This window comes from Homo sapiens, chromosome 5 (genome assembly GCF_000001405.40).
Source record: "Homo sapiens chromosome 5, GRCh38.p14 Primary Assembly".
Lineage (NCBI taxonomy): Eukaryota > Metazoa > Chordata > Mammalia > Primates > Hominidae > Homo > Homo sapiens.
In genome coordinates this window covers 141702948-141722439 of record NC_000005.10, presented here as the reverse complement: position 1 = coordinate 141722439, position 19492 = coordinate 141702948, and the positions used below count along the sequence as shown (strand labels likewise).

The 19492-nt window shown below is 47.3% G+C and overlaps 2 long non-coding RNA genes across 3 annotated transcripts; one reads left to right on the top strand and one right to left on the bottom strand.

Annotated features, from left to right (window-relative positions):
* Window positions 1-1631: 1631 nt before the first annotated feature.
* On the top strand, window positions 1632-19074 carry LOC124901092 (uncharacterized). Of its 2 annotated transcripts, none has more exons than XR_007058973.1 (2): window positions 1632-17598; window positions 18764-19074. It is a non-coding gene; the product is annotated as an uncharacterized LOC124901092 (long non-coding RNA). The 2 variants fall into 2 exon arrangements; XR_007058972.1 differs by having other exon boundaries at window positions 1632-17755.
* On the bottom strand, window positions 5718-16639 carry LOC124901093 (uncharacterized). The gene is made up of 3 exons (XR_007058974.1): window positions 16563-16639; window positions 14774-14915; window positions 5718-5802 (listed from the first exon to the last, which is right to left on the bottom strand). It is a non-coding gene; the product is annotated as an uncharacterized LOC124901093 (long non-coding RNA).
* Window positions 19075-19492: the final 418 nt, after the last annotated feature.

Sequence of the window (19492 nt, the reverse complement as noted above, 5' to 3'; positions counted from 1 at the left end):
CATCCCATCAACAAGATGGGAAAGTCTGCCCAGAGATGTAGTTAACACAGTGGAAAGAATAGATGAGAGATGGCAAGAATATTATCAAGGCCCAGAGACCTAGCCATGCTGAAGTCCAGCTCTACCTTTGATTTTTCATATATGAGCCAAAAATTTTCTTCTTTTCCCTTTTGCTTCAACTACTTTGAATTGGGTTTCTAGCAATTGACACTAAAGAATTCTGGCTAATTAATGGCAAAATCAGAAGGTAAAATGTCATAAGGGAGAAAGAGGGCAAAAGGACCATAAGGGGAAGCCAGAGTCATGAGGAAACAGGAATCTCAAGATGGAAAAGCAGGCCAGGTGTGGCAGTTCATGCCTGTAATCCCAGCACTTTGGGAGGCCAGGGCAGGCAGATCACTTGAGGCCAGGAGTTCGACACCAGACTGGCCAACATGGCAAAACCCCATCTCTACCAAAAATACAAAAAATTAGCCGGGTGCGGTAGCTCACACCTGTAATCCCAGCTACTTGGGAAACTGAGGCAGGAGAATCACTTGAACATGGAAGGCAGACGTTGCAGTGAGCCGAGATCACGCCATTGCACTCCAGCCTAGGTGACAGAGTAAGTCTCTAGTCTCCAAAAAAAAAAGAAAGAAATTAGTTGGGTGTGATGGCACATTCCTGTAGTCCCAGCTACTCAGGAGGGTGAGGAGGGAGGAGAATTTGAGCACAGGAGGCAGAGATTGCAGTGAGCTAAGATCACACCACTGCACCCCAGCCTGGACAACAGAGTAAGACTTCACCTCAGAAAAAAAAAAAAAAAAAAAAAAAGAGGGACACAAAAGCAAAAGCCACAATACATAGAAAATGGGTGGTGAGAGGAGAAGAGGCAGACACAGAGAGAAGCTAAATTACTTGAGCTACCACCTCTTCCTCCAAAGGTCCTTCCTCTAAGCCACTCCGAGGTTCAAATAACCTAGTTCAGTTACAATGTGTATGGAAAGTTGTGTTATTGGTCAAAATATTTGCTGTTCCTCCCTTGGGTGCCCTTTCTGAAAGTGGAACATACTTCCCATTGATGAGAGGCCTGCCATGCGATTTGCTTTGGCCAATAAAATATGAGGGAAAGCTTTAAGAATCAGTGTGCTCCTCTATTGGCCTGGGCTCCAGAGTGAAGAAAGCAGGGGAGCAGAGCTGCAGCTGACCCATGACAGATATGTAATATAGGGGAGAAATAAACATTTGTCATAGGCCTCAGGGATTTGGGGACTGTTTGTTACTGCAACATAATGTAACCCACACTGACTGATACACAGCCTATATTTACAGCAGTTCCTGCTCATCTTGTAGCCTGATTATTCATCTTTTCCTGGATTTTCAGGCACATATTTCCTTACAGTCTTCCCTCACCTATTCCTTTTTTTTTTTTTTTTTTGAGATGGAGTCTCGCTCTGTCACCCAGGCTGGAGTGCAGTGGCGCAATGTCTGCTCACTGCAAGCTCTGCCGTCTGGGTTCACGCCATTCTCCTGCCTCAGCCTCCCGAGTAGCTGGGACTACAGGCGCCTGCCACCACACCCAGCTAATTTTTTTGTATTTTTAGTAGAGACGGGCTTTCACCGTGTTCTCCAGGATGGTCTCGATCTCCTGACCTTGTGATCCACCCACCTCGGCCTCCCAAAGTGCTGGGATTACAGGCCTGAGCCACTGCGCCCGGCCTTCCCTCACCTATTCTTATAACCAACAAGAAATAAGCCTTAAACAGTCTTCCTGATATGTAATATTATTCTGGAGAGCGCTATCCCTTAAGCCAGGAATTACAGGACTGATGTTTCATGATCAAGTATCCCTTTTTACCAAGTCCCTTTCCAACTCCTAATCTCCAAAACTTCCTGTAGCCTCAAGAGAATGTGGAATAAATAGATCTGATTATTATAAAACTGCACAATTGCATGATTTAAAGTAATTTTATTTTACTGAATTTCATGTTTATAAATTTTAAAGAATTTCTTTAAAACAAAATCAGAAATGGTTCATTTTACAGATGCTGACTTCTCAAACTTAAGAGAGTCATAGATTTGAGTACATACTGCACTAGTGATGATAATGATGATACAGACATAAATTTATGCAGAACTTTCATATTTCCAAAACATATCACACATTTGCTTGCTTTAAATTCACAACAGCCTGCAAATATTATTCCCATTTTACATATATGGAGACTGGGGATGAGAAAGTTAAAGGAACTCTTTACAAATTATGGAGGTGGTACTGTATCTCCCAGCACCTTGTTCTTCTGCTGCTTTTCCTCCACCTGCTACATCTGTCATAGCAGGCACTTATAGGAAAGGGGGGCACCTACCTCCATGACAGAAGCTGGGGAGGGGTAGTCAGAGACATCCCTGAGTTGAATAAATAAGTGAATACATGAATATATGACTAACTGAATGGATGCATGAATGGATGGGTGGACGATAGATAAATTGATGAGTGGATTGATGGGCAGATTAATGGATCTATGGGTGGGTGGATGATGAATGGGTGAATCTCTTTTGTTTGGATGAATGGGTAGATGGATGGATGGGATTCCTGTGGTCTCAGAGAAAAGGCAGTGGTGTTCTCTCAGTGTCTAGAAAGTGTGTACAGACACTTATAATACTCTACCAGCCAGAATTCCTTATGCTTAGCCATATCTTAACCCTGCCTGCCCAGGTATTTCAATCATCCTTCATCCTCAAGAAAATAGAATATCTTTCAGCCATAAGGTTGTCTATTTCTACTCTCCAACTTACTAGCCATGTTTACTGTACCTCTCCCTGCCTCAGTTTATTCACCCGTAAAATGGAGATGAAAATAACATCTCATTCATAGAGTTGGAATACATAATATATAGATAGATCATTTAGTAAAGTACCTAACATATCATAAATTCTCGATAAATAATAACTATCACCCTTAATATTCCCTAAAGTTCAGAATGGTTGCCTGTGAAAATCAAAGTGAGTCCCCACTCACTAAGCATGCCATATGGTCATTATGGTCTTTAGCCCTTTTTCATTAGTGGTGGAATCTGCAATCATACAATAACCTTTATTTTATTACACAGCCCTTGGAAATTGAGGGTTTCATCTGTGTCAATTAATTCCTTCGCAGCCCACATTGGCAGTGACAATCAGAATGTCAAAATGTCTCAGAGGATTTCTAGGAAATCTGTGGCACTTCACGAAGAGGCTGCCCCGGGTGAGAGACCAGCCAGAGTGAATCGTTAATACACTTCCCAGGAAGGGGGATTCTTCTGAAATGCTAATACAATCAACTGCAAGGCAAACTTCAAGCTTCTTTTTCAGTGATCAGAGAGGCCCTCCCAGAGCAAGGATGCTCTCCACTGTGCAAGCTAAAGGCCCTACTTTCTCACCCAGCCTTTTCTGGGGAGGAGAAACACATCCTCACCACATTGCAGCTGCCCTGCGAGGGCTGCAGGTATTGTGTGTCCCCACCAGCCAGGGCAGTTCCCAGACAGACTCTGGCTGCCTGGACCCAGGTCTGCTCCAAGGAAGCAGCACGTTTCTGGAGGAGGCTTAGCCAAGAAACCATTACGGAGTGAGAGAGGAGTTATCTGGATAAATGCGGAACTGCCCAACTCCTAGCATTTGTTCCTGGGACCCAGGCTGTAACATCCTCTGGAGCCAAACTGCCTCTGTTCAAACCCTTGTCCCCGCACTCCACCTCCTAGCTGTGTGGCACTGTGTGCATTACTTAACTTTGCATGCCTTACTTTTTCCATTTGTAAAATGCATATAATAATAAATCCTACCTCCTAGGGTTGTGTGAGGATTTAATGATTTAATAAATAAAAAACACTTAGAACAATTCCTGGCACATGGAAAGCATGTATAAAATGTTAAGTATTATTATTCATTCTTTCATACATTCCCTCATTCATGCATTTATTAGTCTTTCCACTCATCCACTGATTCCTGCACTCATGCATGCATACATCCAACATTCCTATCTGAACCCTTATTAACGAATGAGGTCATGTTAAAAGTGAATAATAAATATCAAGTTTAGGTTTGAGAGACAAAGAGCTACCAAGAGTAGCCTGGGAAAGGTGTCCTAAACCTCTGCTTTGTGCAGGCACCATGCTTAAAACCTCCAACCGCATGCATTTGCTCATGTGGTTTTGTCTCCTCAGATGCTTCTCTCCCCCTTCTTCTGCCCCTCTAAACCCAGAAAACCCTTACTTATCCTCCAAGGCCCAGTTCAAGGGTTATCTCCTGGGTGAAACTTTTCCAGCTTCCGGGCATAACTATTCCCCATCTCCTTAATGAGTAAACGACTGATAGAATGAATAAAGGCTCCCACAGCTCTGTGTTCATGTTGATGTTACAGCCTGTATCACCTTGGATTATAATTAATTGCTCATGCTTCTCCTGCCTGGAACACTCCCCCTTAAGCAGCCTGCTTCTATTTATCCTTCAAGCCTTAGTTTAGACGTCACTTCTTCCAGGAAGCCTTCTTTGACTTGCCAAATATAGTCTTGGGGCCTCTCCTGCAAGTCCCAACAGCCCCTGTTCCTCCCCCATCACCACCCTGGCCATACTGTAAGGTCATTCCTGCCTTGCCTGACTGAGGCCTCTGTGGGACTCCATCCTCTGTGAGACCAGGGGTCAGGTTGGTCTTGCTTACCACGACATTCCCAGCACCCAGTCATGTCATGTACAGTGTCTACAATATGATTGGCACCTCCAGAAGGTTGTGCAGCATGCAACTCTGTATGGCAGCCCTGCCCTGGAAAGGTGCCTGACACCGAATAACCAGACAATAAGTATCTGGTGAATTTATAGATGGTGGCTAAGCTTGGAAACCCCCAGGTTCCTGTGTCAGGTGTCACTCTCATTGCCCCTCCAGGACCCTCTGGGAGGAGCAAAAGTGTTGCAGGTTCTCCCCCTCCTCCTCCTTCAGGAGCTATTCTGTGTTTGGAAAGCTCTCAGCACCTTAAGGTAAGTGGGGTGTCAATAACAGATGGCATGGAATAGGGTGGTGTAAAGGGAGGCCAGTGTCCTGAGCCTGAAAATAAGGAAGCCACTACTCTCACCCAAATAACAGAAAACTGAGTGCTTCCAGCAGATCACATAGGCTCCGCCCCTGGCCCCCCTCCAGCTCTGACAGAAGACACCTGAAGCTCCTCCTTCTCAAAACATTTAGGTGTTCCAGCACTGAACCCTCAGAAGGCAGAAAAGAGAAGTGGTTAAGACAGAGCAAGCCACATTTCTAATTCCAGCCTCACCTCGTTGTTAGCTGTGTGGCTTTAGGCAGATTGCCCAGCCTTTCTGAGCTTCATTCCCTCATCTGTTTACGGATAATACTTCACAGGGGAGGTATGAAGATTAAATAAAACAACACATATAATATACCTGGCCCAGAGTAAATATTCCAGGAATATTTGCTATTATTATTATTATTTAACATTTTTTCAGATTCAGATGGAAGCTCAGAACAGATGTATAATATGGCTTTGATCCATCCACGCCTCAATCTATCTCCTTATTGAGGCCCAGAGGAAAAGTGGGATTTGTCAGAACCACATCTGGCATAGACACAGAACCTTCCAAAATGATGTTCTTCCTGCTGCATTATCAGTAAAATGTCACTGTTGAGTGAGAACTTACTTCATTTCTTCCCTTGGCATCTGAAGGCTACATACATGGTGTAGGACGAGCCTGGACTCTGGATTGAAATTCTGCATATGTTTGGCACTTTCCAGCTGTGTGACTTTGGGTGAGTTGCTTAGCCTCTCTGAGCGTCACAGTCCTCATCTATAAGATGAGAAGAAGAATAAAATAGTTCCTCCCTTAAAGTGAAGAATCGGTAAGATGATCAGGAAATATAAGGACCTCACTTAGTACACTAAGTAACTGGCTTAGAGTAACAGACTAATAATTGTTCACTACTATTATTTTATTAGCAAGTCTTAGGGTATAAGGCTGTTGGGGAATAGAGAAATTTAAATTATGTCCTTGACTGAGGCTTTTATTCTTCCTGGAAGTCCAGGCTTTGGTGCTCCCAATATGGGAACAGCCCCATTCCCATCTCAGGACTGAGGACTTCCCCTCTCCCCATGTTGGGATTCCTCCCCATCCCCCTCCATGTTGCACCTCCTACCTCTCCCAGGCAAGCTGTGGCCTGCCTCATCCTTCCTGGTGTCTCTCACCAGGAAACACATTCTTTCTCCCACATTCTGGGGCCTGTGAGCTACAGTTCTTATCAATGCCAAAGGAACCCAGGCTCTTGCAAGCTGGGCTGGCTGCACGAGCTTGCTCTGTCTCCTGCAGGCAGAAGAAACCTGCTTTCACAGTATTGGATGTCAGCACGCTGCTGGGTGGCTTCTGTGCGTTTTGCTCTACCTGTCTGCAGCCAGAGATGGTGGCTGATCCTTGGGGATGTCCAAGTGGCCTGGGTTTTGTTCTCAAGTTGGCATCACCTGCTCTCAGTCCAGTGTCATCGAGAGAGCTGTTTATCCTCCTACGTCCCAGAATAGCCAGGAAATTGTGGGGGTCCCTGTGCTCTGTCATACCTGGGAGGCGGTATCCCACAAGAAGGGACTGGGGGATTGCAGGAGAGAGGACACCTGGTCCCACCCCTGGCCCTCACACCTCCCACCAGCTTCTCTTCCAGGAGCAGATCTGGGGGCCCCCACCTCCAGGTGCCCAGAGGCCTGAGAAGTTGTCGAAACCGCAGAACCTGACGTGTATAACTGCAGGAGACGCCAGCCGTCTCCTCCTGGTGCGGGCTAAAAATACAGAGGAGCAAGGGGCCTTGGTAATGGAGACTTTAAGAGCCTGTGACATGCAGCAACGGCTGCGCGGCCGCTAATGAGCTCCAAGCCGATCGATGCTGGCGCTTCAAGTGAGTGTGTGGGCTGGGAGCAGGGATGGGGGTGTCACTCAGCATTTGTCCATCCTAGCTGAGAAATCTGGAATGTTGGTGTGGGCCAGGAGCTTGGAGACCAGCTCAAGTGACCCCTTGACATTCAGATGGAGAGACTGAGGCCAAGTGACAGGAAGTGGGAAGACACATCAGAAAGAGGTTGAGGCCTCAAGGGACTCCAGCCTGACCTCTGCAGTAGGCTCCCTGCCCTGTTCCCAGCTCTGTGCTTCAGAGCCCAGCACAGAACCTGCATGTGGAGACCCTGGCAAATGGGTGATAATTGACCAAATGAATGAGAGTGAGTGAGTGAGTGAATCAATAAACATCTTCTTCACTGCAGCATGGCTCCCCAGTGATGGGGACTGTAATTTCATCATCCTATTGCTCTAGGAGTACCTGGCACAGAGTAGGCACTCAAAAACTGCTTGCTGCATGAATGAGCACCTAATCTGCTTCTTGATCTACCCGTTTCCTGAGTGTGGAGACAAGGAAGCCTGTAAAAATTGTGCCTGAGGTCTCTTTTCAGTGGTCCTACTACTCAAAAATGGTAGATTTCTACCTACCAGAGAGAATAAAAAACAACACAGCAGACATTTATTAAGTACTCAGCAGGCACAGTATTAAGAACTGTTCACAAAATATCTCATTTAGTCCTCACATCAATCTATGAGTTAAGTTCAATTTTTATACCCATTTTAAACAGGATAAACAGGAGAGAGCCAAGGGAGCTCTGAAAGGTGGTGTGGCTTGCCCTGAGTCATGCATTCCTCTAGGCAAAGGAGGAGCCAGGATTCAAACCCAGGCCAGCCTGCTCTTCCCTCCTTAACCACTGCACTATCCTGCCTCCCTTAAAGTACAGCAGGAGAAGACAGGAGAAGCATGGCCAGAGAAAGCCATGCAGAATGGAGTCAAAAAAATACCTCCAGGGCCTATAAAGTGTTTGATAAATTCCAGGAGAAGAATAGGAAGAAATAATGAGCATTTGTCAGAGCCTTTTATAGCATATAAGATGATTTTCCCTGCATTCTCTCATTTGATCTTCACCACAGGCCTGGGAGGAAGGTATTATCATTATCTACATTTTATTGGTGAGGAAAGTAAGGCTCCCACACCTCTCAGCTAGGGTTGGGCAGGCTGCACACCTGAGGGGGTAGTGGTTCAGTGATAAGGACTCACTTCTCATCTCCTGGAGGCTGCCATAACCTCTCCCCAAATTGTCATTGGCTCAAAGGGAAATCTAGGCTGAGGCTCACATGGCATTTCTGTGTTCTCTATAACCACAGGGGAAAGGCCAGCAGGGCGCAGAGGCCAGACCAAATGCCACCTCCTCCAAGGAGCCTGCCTGGACCTGCCCGCCCTCGGGACTCTTACTCTCCTCTGAGCTGTCCATCTCTTTCATTTCTTTGACAGCCCCTCCCAAGGCAGAGCTTGTTATCTCTGCATCATCTCAAAAAGAATTAGTCAACAAGAGTGACCCTTGGCAGTGGGAAGGTGAACACGTGGTGCAAGAGTTTGCTCAGGCAACAGTGTTATGATGGCTTAAGAACAGAAACTATGTGTGGAGTGAGACCAGAGCCCCTCACGCTCTCCAGGCCCCTCTGACTCTCAGCTACTCTGTTGGCTCCTTGACCTTCGGAGCATGTGGCCAAGATTGGGCACAAAGCGGGTGTGGCAATGCTCTTCCTAATGCTCCCCACAGGAAACACAAATTTAATACAGCATGAGCAAGGGCTGCAAAGAGCTCCTGTCCTACAGCCAGTTCCATTTCTCAAAAGGGAATGGGAGTGTCAGGAAGTGAATGCCCTGTGATTATCTGGAATTTCCTCAGTTCAGCATAGGGTCAGTGGTGTACAGCATGCCTTACTATCTTGGCTTTATGTGCCAATTCAGATGGATGAAAAAGCATTGCTTCGGGTGGGGGGAGGGGGGAGGGATAGCATTAGGAGATATACCTAATGTTAAATGACGAGTTAGTGGGTGCAGCACACCAACATGGCACAGGTATACATATGTAACAAACCTGCACGTTGTACACGTGTATCCTAAAACTTAAAGTATAATAGAAAAAAAGCATCGCTTCTCACTAACTATATAAAAATCAAAACCCAGATTTTATGTGATTGAATTTTTTCAACCCCAGTTACCATATATGATGGGGTATTACAGTCTTTGTGATTGAAAAGGTGAAGCTAGGGCGGGAATGTGCTCCAGCAGGATTCTTGCAGGCTTTCAGCCTATGTGGAGCCCCTGCTAGCTGCCAGGCACTGTATTAGACTTTGAGGATATAGTGCTGAACCAGGCAGACAGTCCCTGCTGTTGGGAATTTCCAGCCTAGGGGACAGACAAGCAGACTTCACAAGATGAAGGCTGGAAGCTCCTGACCCAATCAGGGAAAAGAGAAGGCCTCTGGGGGAGAGGTGGCCCTTGGGCTGAATTCTAAAGGATATACAGGGGCAGATGGTGCAGCAGTTATGAATTCCAGGTCTGGAGTCAGGTAACCTGAGCTGGAACCTGGGCTCTGCCACTTCAAGCTCGTGATCTTGGACAAGTTCCTTGACCTCTTTGTGCCTCAGTTTCCTCATGTGTAAAATAAGCATAGTAATAGCAACTTAGGCTGGGCGCCATGGCTCATGCCTATAATCCCAGCACTTTGGGAGGCCAAGGCAGGTGGATCACCTGAGGTCAGGAGTTTGAGACCAGCTTGGCCAACATGGTGAAAACTTGTCCTACTAAGAATACAAAAATTAGCCGGGCGTGGTGGCACATGTCTGTAATCCCAGCTACTTGGGAGGCTGAGGCAGGAGAATCGCTTGAACCCGGGAGGCAGAGGTTGCGGTGAGCTGAGATCGCACCATTGCACTCCAGCCTGGGCAACAAGAGCAAAACTCCCTCTCAAATAATAATAATAATAATAATAATAACCCCGTAAGGTTGGGAGATAAATGAGTTAATACATAGAAAGCACTTGGAGGCCAGGTGCGGTGGCTCACACCTGTAATCCCAGCACTTTGGGAGGCCAAGGCAGGCAGACCATGAGGTCAGGAGGTTGAGACCATCCTGGCTAACACGGTGAAACCCCATCTCTACTAAAAATACAAAAAATTAGCCGGGTGTGGTGGCGGGCACCTGTAGTCCCAGCTACTCGGGAGGCTGAGGCAGGAGAGTGGCGTGCACCCGGGAGGCGGAGCTTGCAGTGAGCCGAGATCGCGCCACTGCACTCCAGCCTGGGCGACAGAGCAAGACTCCGTCTCAAAAAAAAAAAAAAAAAAACAGTGGCTGGCCAATACTAGGGATCTACTGCATGTCAACTATCAGTATTTTTACCTTGTAGGTTGTTGTGAGGACTAAATAAGATAAAATTGGGTAAGTACTTAACCCAGAGTAAGTGCTCAATAAATGTAAGCTGCTTTTATTTTTGTTATTAAGTAGGCATTTGCCATTACTAGCCAGGTGGGTGGGAGGCGAATCCAAGGCAGAGAGAATAGCATATGCAAAGGCCTGGAGGCCAGACAGAGCCTGGCGCATTTGGCAAAGTTTTGAAGTTCAATTAGACTGGCACAGAGCCTGGGTTCCAGGAGTGATGCAGGCTGGGGCTGCAGAGGTGGAGGCCAGGGCTGGATCTGGAGGTATTGGGAATAGTGAGCCTCCCTCACTCCACAGGCAAGAGTGCTTCTGCTATGAAGCCTTGCCTGCGGTGATGGAGAGGCCAGCAGTATGAGGAGGGTGCTCCACCCTCATCCTCACCTTGCCCAGTGCCACTCTGCTTGGAGCTGCCGGCTGTCCATTAGGCAGCCTCAGTGCAAGAGGCTCTCTTTCCTCATGCGATACATGTCACATCCGGGAACGATCAAAACAGCTTTGCTTTGGCAAAACGTCTTGTGCTGCGTGTTTGTTCTTTGGAGTCTGAGCGTAACTCCTGTTGTTCCCGACACCTGTGATTTGCTGGTCTGTGACAGCCATTACCTGCTCAAAGTCTCTGCCTGCCACACAACCCACCTGGTGCCACCCCCATTCCTTCCTCTGCCATCCCCAGAGCAGTAAATGCCTCTCCAGGCCACAGGGGTTGGGGCCAGCAGTGAATCAGACATAGTTGGCAAGGATGGCCAATTTTAGTAATCACCTCTACCATTTGGGAACGTCTACTGTGCACCAGGTGCTTCGAATGCCTTGTTTTTAGTCCGCCCAACAACCCCACAGTTAGAGTTCATTTTCTGTATTTAACAGAGGCACAGAGAGGTTAGGAAGTGACCCAAGTCCACCATTTGATAAGTATGAGGAATAGGATTTGAACTCAGATCTCTGCACCATTGGCTGCACACTTGCCACCATGTCAGGCTGCCTCTCCAGCTCACTTGCTCACAGCTGCTGATCCTGAATGGAGGGGCCTGGGACAGCTGAAATTTGACATTGGCATTGGGGTCAACTCATGGGAGTCAGTCCATCTGGCCCCAGGACCTTCCATTCCTGAGGACAGACCCCCTTGGAGGTACTAGACCCCCAGTGTTGGTCTCCACAGCTTGGATCCTGACCAGCCCCTCGCCTGTCTCTTGCAAACTCAATCCTGTTAAGCTCTGACACCTCCAAGCTCCTTCCTGGGGTGATCCTTTAGCCTTCAACACTTACCCACCAAATCTCCACTTCGAGTTCATGTGTATCAAGCATCCAGTTCACTGTTATTATCATTATAATGGGGGAAGCACAGCCTCATGTAAAGCTTGAGGGCCCTTCCCTGTTCCCTGTACCCCTTTTCTTCACTTTCTGGGATCTCTGAGGGAACCAAAGGAGATTCAGGCCCTCCATTTTGTGATAAGTTCCTGGAGGGCAGAGCCCTATCTGACTTATTAACCTGTTTCCCTAGTGCTTGAACTGCAGTAGGTGCTCAGAAAACATATGCTGAGTAATAATATCCACCGGTGCTCTTGCTTATGGAGCTACACTGAAAATCTCTTTCACATGATACCATTTAGCTAAGACAGTAACCAATATAAAGTAGGTATTATTTTCCCCACAGATGAGGAAACTGAGGCTCTGAAACATAGAGCAATGTGCCATAGACCACAGCTAGGAGGTAGTGGGGCCAGGATTCAAAACCCAGGGTTGCCTGACTCTAAGCCTGTGCTTCTGAACACGCATCCTATACAGCCTCCTTAATACAATCCATGGATGAATGGAGGAGTTCTACGTGCCCTGCCCAGTCGACTGCCCAGCCTGACCCCTTCCCACAACCTCCTAGGATGCTAGAGTCCTCCACCCATGCTGCCCCCTCTTCTGCCCACAGGCTCAGAGCAAAGCCTCTCCCAACAAGGCTTATTATTTCTAATCTTAGGAGAAAAACCTCAGTTCAAAGGCATTTTCTATTCCATTCAAGTCAAAAAACAGTTCTCACTTTGCCTCTCTGACCCCCTACCACCCCCACCTCCTCCTCCAACTGGCGCCAATAACGCAAGATAAATCTTTCCTCAGAAATATAATAGTTGTTCTTCCTCTTCTCGTTGAAGCCTTTGCCAGGTAATTAGCATATGCTGACACCTTGATAGACGAAAAGAAAGGCATGAGATAATTCCCTTTTTCTTTAACCATTATAGTATGAAGCAGCCTTTCAATTTGCCAGTTACCCAATCCAGCATTCCTGGACGCAGCCCACCGTGTGACATGTTATTCTAGCTGATCCTACCATCTCTGGTATTCATCACCAACCCTGGGTCACACTTGATAGAGCAAATTCCCCTTCTTCACATTGACACTTTTCTGGGAGGAGGGGCAGCCAGGGTTCAGAGGGTCTGGAAATTGTGGGGATGATGTGGTCATACTTGGGTGGGCACCCCCAGCTGACAGCCTAAGGCCTTGCAAAGGCCTGCAGAGCCCTAGGGGTCACTTTCAGAAGCCCTCTCTCCTTCCCCTGTTCCTTTCCCGCTCCCTAAAAGAAGCTGGCCTTTGATCAGACTTTGGGAGTCCCTGTATTTAGTGCAGCAGGAACCTCAGCTTGGAGTGAATGGTTTTCTCTCTTCTCATCAAAAAACACACACACACAACATGCACAATGACACATACACACAAAACATGCACGCACACTACACGTGCACGTGTGCGCGCACACACACACTCCCACTCTGGGCTCATGGCCTGGGATCTTAGGGTTGCGCCCAACCTCTTTGGAGGGACTGTCCCTCTATGGCCATTTATATGCTCACAGGGTTGATTTTATCCTTGACGTTTTGAGGGATGAGGGAGAAGACGACACTTAATTCCTTCATTTCACAATGTAGTAAGTGCCTACCAGGCACTATTTTAGACATTGAAGATACAGAGATGAACAAGACAGGCAAGGGGCCCGGCCTCATGGAGCTTCCAATCCAGCCCGAGGAAGCATACAAGAAATAAGCCAGTAAAAGATATCATTTCAGATGGTGATATGTGCTTATTAGGGAGACAAAACCAAACAGGTGAGGTGATGGGGAGGGAGTGGGAGGACTATTTTAGACAGAGTGGCCAGAGGGCCTGAGATTTGAACTGATACGTGAACGAAGATGAGCAAGCCAGCCATGCAGGAGCTGGGGAAAACATTCCCAGAATGAACAGCAAGTGCAAGAGTTCACAAATGCACCAGGTCCTGCACTGGGTCCAGTTTCTTTGGAGGGATCTGTTCCACCCTACATAGCTTTGACTTTCGCTGGTACTACTGAGGGTGAGACAAGCAGCTTGCTTGTCCATTTGGTGAGGGTAGAAAAGTTGCTGCCTGGGTCTATCTGTTAGCTAGGACTTTCCCAGGCTAGGGACTACGCATCACGCATCTGAGCAGAAACCAGAAACCAGATCAACCCTGTTATCTTGCCAATGGCTGCCCAAGGAAACTTCCAGCCCTCCCATCCCTCAACTCCTTTCCTGAAGGACAGGTCCACTCCAGGCAGGAGGTTCAGTGGCCTTAACTTCTCTTTCCTGGTTTGCCCATCTGCTCCTCCTCTTGGCTGGGACAGGTTCCCGACACCCCCATGCTTGGCCCGGGGGATGGGATGGGGAGTGGGGAAACAGTGTGCCAGCCAGCCTTCACCAGTGCAGGCACACCTCCTTTCCTCTCAGTTCTGCTAAGATAAGGTAAGATTTTTTAAAGGAAACGTATCAACCAAACAGAGGGAAGAAAAAAGGGGAAAGAAGGGGGAAATGCAGATGCTGGGAAACGGGTCCACAGAGCTGAGGTTCCTGACTCTAAAGGAACTTACGCCTGGCCACAAGCTCACTTGACCTTCTGAGGACTTAATCTTCCACCACCACCACCTCTGTGGCTCCAGATGCAGGATGACCTTGGGACCGCACCCAGGTTGAAAGGTGCGGACTGGTCGCTGTGTTTGCTATTCTGTTGTGGGAGAAGGGTCACTGGGCACAGGCCCAGGGCCCGACCGAGCCTCAAGGAGCCTGTCCTTCCTCTGCTTCCCAGGGGCTCCTGTTGGGACTTCCACACGCCTCAGCCTCAAACTGGTCTCCCCACCTCACCCTGCCCCCACCCCAGTCTATTCTCCACACACAGAAACTGGAGTGATTGTTTTAAAAAATTATATGTGAATCAGATTATATCATTTATGGTTAAAAACTTCCACTGAATAAACACTATCATAGGCTGAAAAAGAAAGGCCTAGATACATGGGATGGACAGTATGAACAGCCGCCCAGGCCCCTGTTCAGAGAAGGGCTCGTTGCCCCTGGTACTGGCTTGCTGTTGGGAAATAGCCTCCAGCTCTAAGCCCCTCCGGGATTGCATCAACTGCAAAGAACTGCCTCATCCAAGGTCATGCCACTTGCGTGGGTCTCTACACCCAAGCACTGACTGATGGGGGAGATGAAGGATGAGCCATCAGCCCAACTCACGACAGCTCTAGAAGAGGCGTGTCCAGCACTGGAGTTCCTCATCCAGCCGGCCAAGGCCACTGCCGGGCCTGTGCTCATCTTCTCCCTCTGCCCATTCCTGCCTCCTGCCCCTCTTCCATGAGCATTGGTCTCCAGGGAACTCCTACATAAAATCATGCACACAAAAACAAAAGGGAAAAATTCTGCTGGCCTCCCATAGTGTTTTAGATTTTTAAAAATATAAAGCTATGTATTTTTTACAAGGACCAGCAATGCCTTACATGACTTGAGCCTGGCCTGCCCTTCTCACCTCATGTCACTGAGGCCTTCCTTGGCTACCTTGTCTAAAATTTCAACTTCACATAATTCCTTTTTTATCCTTCTTAGCACTTATCACTATCTATCATACTACATATATATATTTAAACTTATTTATCTTGTTTATTTTCTGTCTTCCCATTAGATCATAAGCTCAATGAGGGCAAGGGTTTTGTCTGTTTGGTTTCTCTTGTAACCCCACAGCTTAGCATAGTGTCTGGCACATAGTAGGTGCTCAATAGTTGCTGAGTGAATCAATAAATGAATCTTCTACCTATCACTATCTCACACAGTACCTGGAATATAGAAGAAATGAAATAAATATTTGTAAAAAAATAAATAGCCATGTCTGCAAGTTGGCCTCTAAGATCCTTTTTCGCTCTGTGGGGCTCCTTTAGTTCCCTCCAGTTTCCCAAGTTCTTCCTGTTGACCCCTCCAGGGCTCTGGTGACAGAATAGTACAAGTCTGTCCCTGCCACGTGTAAGCCAAGGATCACAGACTCTCTGACCATGGGCAGTGTCGTCAGTGGTTACAGTTTTAGAGACAAACTACCTGGGTTCAAATCTCGGTTCTACCACAGATGACCTTAACATCTGTGAGCCTCTCATCTGCAAAACAAGGATGACAGTACCTACCTCAGGGCTTCTGCAAAGTATTTATTGAATGCTTGTCTCCCTACTTGACCCTGAACTCTCAGAGGGCAGGAACCAAGTCTACAAGTTCACATGACTCCTTGGCACTTAGTAGGTGCCTGATGAACATTAGAGAGTGTATTTCCATATTTCCCATTCTACTCAGCACCAAGTATGGGCATGAGCAAAACTGGCTGGATGACACAGCAGAGGCAGATCCCCACTGGCCATGCTCTGATGGTTTCTGCCCATTCTCCTGGATTGAATTACCAGTTGAGAATTACCACTGTTTTCTCATTTGGTAGGTGGAGATAGGAAAAGGAAGTCTGTGGTGGTGACCATCATTCATCCTGTGCCCAGGGTTCTCTGCCTACCCCCAGATCCCCAAGCTACCCCACGGCTTCTCTGCTTGTGAACCTCTGACCAAACCCCAACCTTTGCTCTGGTTCCCCCTCTGTCACTCCAGAATCCAGCTGAGTACCCCCTCCCACCTCCACATGGCCTCTGACAGCTTAGGTCACATTGTTCTTTCCCCTTCCTGACCACCCACTGCATATATCGACTAAATCGTGCTTCCTGGCATTTGCTTCCACCCAGGCTGGCATTTGATTAGATTCTGCTGCAGGTTCTCATTTTACCTCTCTGTCAGATCTCCCCGAGTTGACTTTAATAGTAATAATAGTAATAATTTTGCTTTACATCTGGGAACCCACCGGGCACTCATACAAAGGGATCCCATTTCTTTTACCTCTCTCTGTCTCTATAACCATCCCAGAAAGTAGGCAGGGCAGAGGTCATCTTCTACATTCCACAGATAAGGCAACCAAGGCTCAGAGATGCTCACATCAATAACTCCTCACCTCAGCCTGTTCCCCTTTCACCATCTCAATAATTGGCACCACTGTCCACCAAGATGTCTAAGCCAAAAACTTGGGCATCTCTATCATTCTTCACCTCCTCCTTTCTTTTACAGCCCCTACCCTGCAGATGAAACCGAAATTTCTCTCCAGACCACTCACTCCTCTCCAGTTCTACCACCTTGGCCCATATGTGATGACATCATCCCTGCTCTGGAAGATTGCAAAGGTCTCCCTCCCAGCCTCTGCTATTGCCCCACCCTACCCCATTCATTCTGTACATTGCATCACAGTGGTCTTTTTCTGATGCATACACATTCATTCACTGAACTAATAGTTTTTGAGAGCCTATTCTGTGCCAGGCACTGTTCAAGATGCTGGGGGTACAGCAATGAATAAAACTATTGCCCTCGTGGGGCTTATATTCCAGTGGGGAGGTGAGGGGTCAATAATAAGTAGTCAAGTAAATGTATAGTATTAGACAGTGATCATTGCTATGGAAAGAAAGAAAGCAGAGGAGGGAGTCAGGGAGTATATCCTGTGGCAGGATATAGGCTTGCTATTATATAAGGTAGGGAGAAAAGCCCTCATTGAGCAGACATCTGAAAGAAGTGAGGGAGTGAGGCTTGCTGATACCTGGAGTTATTCCAGGCAGATGGAACAGCAAGTGTAAAATCCTGAGGTGGGATGGCACTTGGCAAGTTCATGTTTGAGAAAGTGCACAGAGACCAGTAAGGCTGGAGGAGTATGAGAAGAGGGAGAGATCTGGCAGAAGGCCACACCTTGCAGGGTCTATAGGCCATTATAAAGACTTTGGCTTTGACCCTGAGTGAGATGCTGCACCAGTGGAGGGGTTGAGCAGAGGCATGACACAATAATTTTAATTGGCTTACATTTTAACAGGACCTCTCCACCCACTGTGTGAAGAACAAACAGTAAGGGCACAAGGGTAGAAGTGGGAAGACTAGTTAGGAAGCCATTGCAGTAACACAGGGAAGAGATGATAATAGCTCGGACCAGGGTAGAGTCTATGGAAGTGGTAAGAAGTGGTTTGATGCTGAATGAGTTATGAAGGTAGAGCTGACAATGTTTTCTGATGAACTGCATGTGGGGTGTGAAAGAAAGGCGTCAGGAAGGATGCCAGGGATGACTGCAAATATGATTTTGTCACTCCATCAATTCCCCATTGTTCTTAGGTTTGTACAAACCCCTTACCATGGATTATAAGGTCCTTCATGATCTGAGCCTCCTCCTCACCTCTCACCCTCCCCACACCATGGCTTCATCTTCAGCAACAGTGAAGAATAATACTATTTAACAGTTACTGAATGTTAACCTCATGCCAGGTCTGGGCTAAGCATTTTACAAATGCCATCTCATCCATTCTCCACAACAATCCAATGAAATGGATATTATTATTAACCCTTATTATTAATAGACTCATTTTACAAAAGAGAAAACTGAGGCACAGAGAGATGAAATAATTTGACCAAGGTCACACAGCTAGCACATAGCAGACCCAGAATTTGAAGCCAGGCATTTGATTCCAAAGCTGTTTCTTTAACCATTATGGGAGATGGAAATTTCAGTTCTCCAATCACTCATGACTTCACTCTCTTAATCCCTGTGCCCTCCCAACAGGCAATTCCCTGGGCTTAGAATATTTTTCCTCCCATCCCTCACACATTCCTAACCCTCGATCTTTGTCTGGTTAAATTACCCTCCTCTGGGAAGCCAAGTCGGGTGAAATACCCCTCGTCTGTGCTCCCACAGTTGCCTGGGCTTGTTCTGTTACGGCTCTGCCCACCCTGTGGCCAGGCTGTTTATGGACCTAGGTCTCCCTTACTAGACATGAGCTCTCTGTGCAGAGACCAGATTTACCTGTCTCATAGCTGTATCCACGAAGTGAAGAACAGTGGCTGGTATGCCAGCAGTCAGTAATTATCAGTTGACTGATCAATGGGACTGAGCCTAAACGTAGACATTCTACCTGTAAGAGGGATGCACTTTTAAATCCACCCTCTAATAATCTCCTAGGTCTGTGCTCCACACCGCTCTGCTTTCCCATAGCCCCTACACTACTACTTACATAGTAGATAATAACAGCTAGCATTCCCTGAGTGCTTACTGTGTGCCATGCACTCTCTCATTTAATCCCACCAACACATAATGAGATAAATATGATTACAATCTCCATTTTACAGATGAGGAAACTGAGGCTGTCTGAGGTTCAGCGAATCCCCCAGGGTCACAATGTGGTACTGGGATGCTGAACAAATAATTGCTGAATTGAACTGATAGCACTGGCATTACCCTGTGCCTGCTTTCTCCGTGTCCACCGATCTCAGCACAAAGCCTGGCGCAGAGTGGGTGTGCACTCACCAAGCGAGCAAAACCCAGTCCAGCCTGCGGCGGGAAAAGAGGCCTCCTCGCTCCTCTCCCCGCTCCCCCAGAGCTCCCTCTCCCCATTCATCTCCCCTTCACACCCTTAATAAAAGCCCTGAGATTGACCGATTGAAGGGTGTGATTTCCATGGGAGAGCAGCAGCATTTACATGGGAACATTCAAACAGGAACAGAATTCTTCCGCGAGGGCATGGGCTTCAGAAGATAGCTGTGGATAGAGAATTGCCGGGGGAGCGGGTGCCTACGGATGGGGAGCGATCCTTTATTTATTTATTTCCCTCCAGGAGCCTTCACCTTTCATTAAAACACCCTCCGGATGTAGGTGCAATCAAACATTCATTAGACAAGCAAGTTACATTTTTAAAAAACTAACAACGCCCAAACACACACACACACACACACACACACACACACACACACACACACACTCACGCAGCAATAATCAATCTGCGAAATGAAACCGGTCTTTCGGGCGAGAAAAGCAGCCTGTGTTTGTCTGTACCGCGCTCCCCAAGCCCTGCGTCCTCC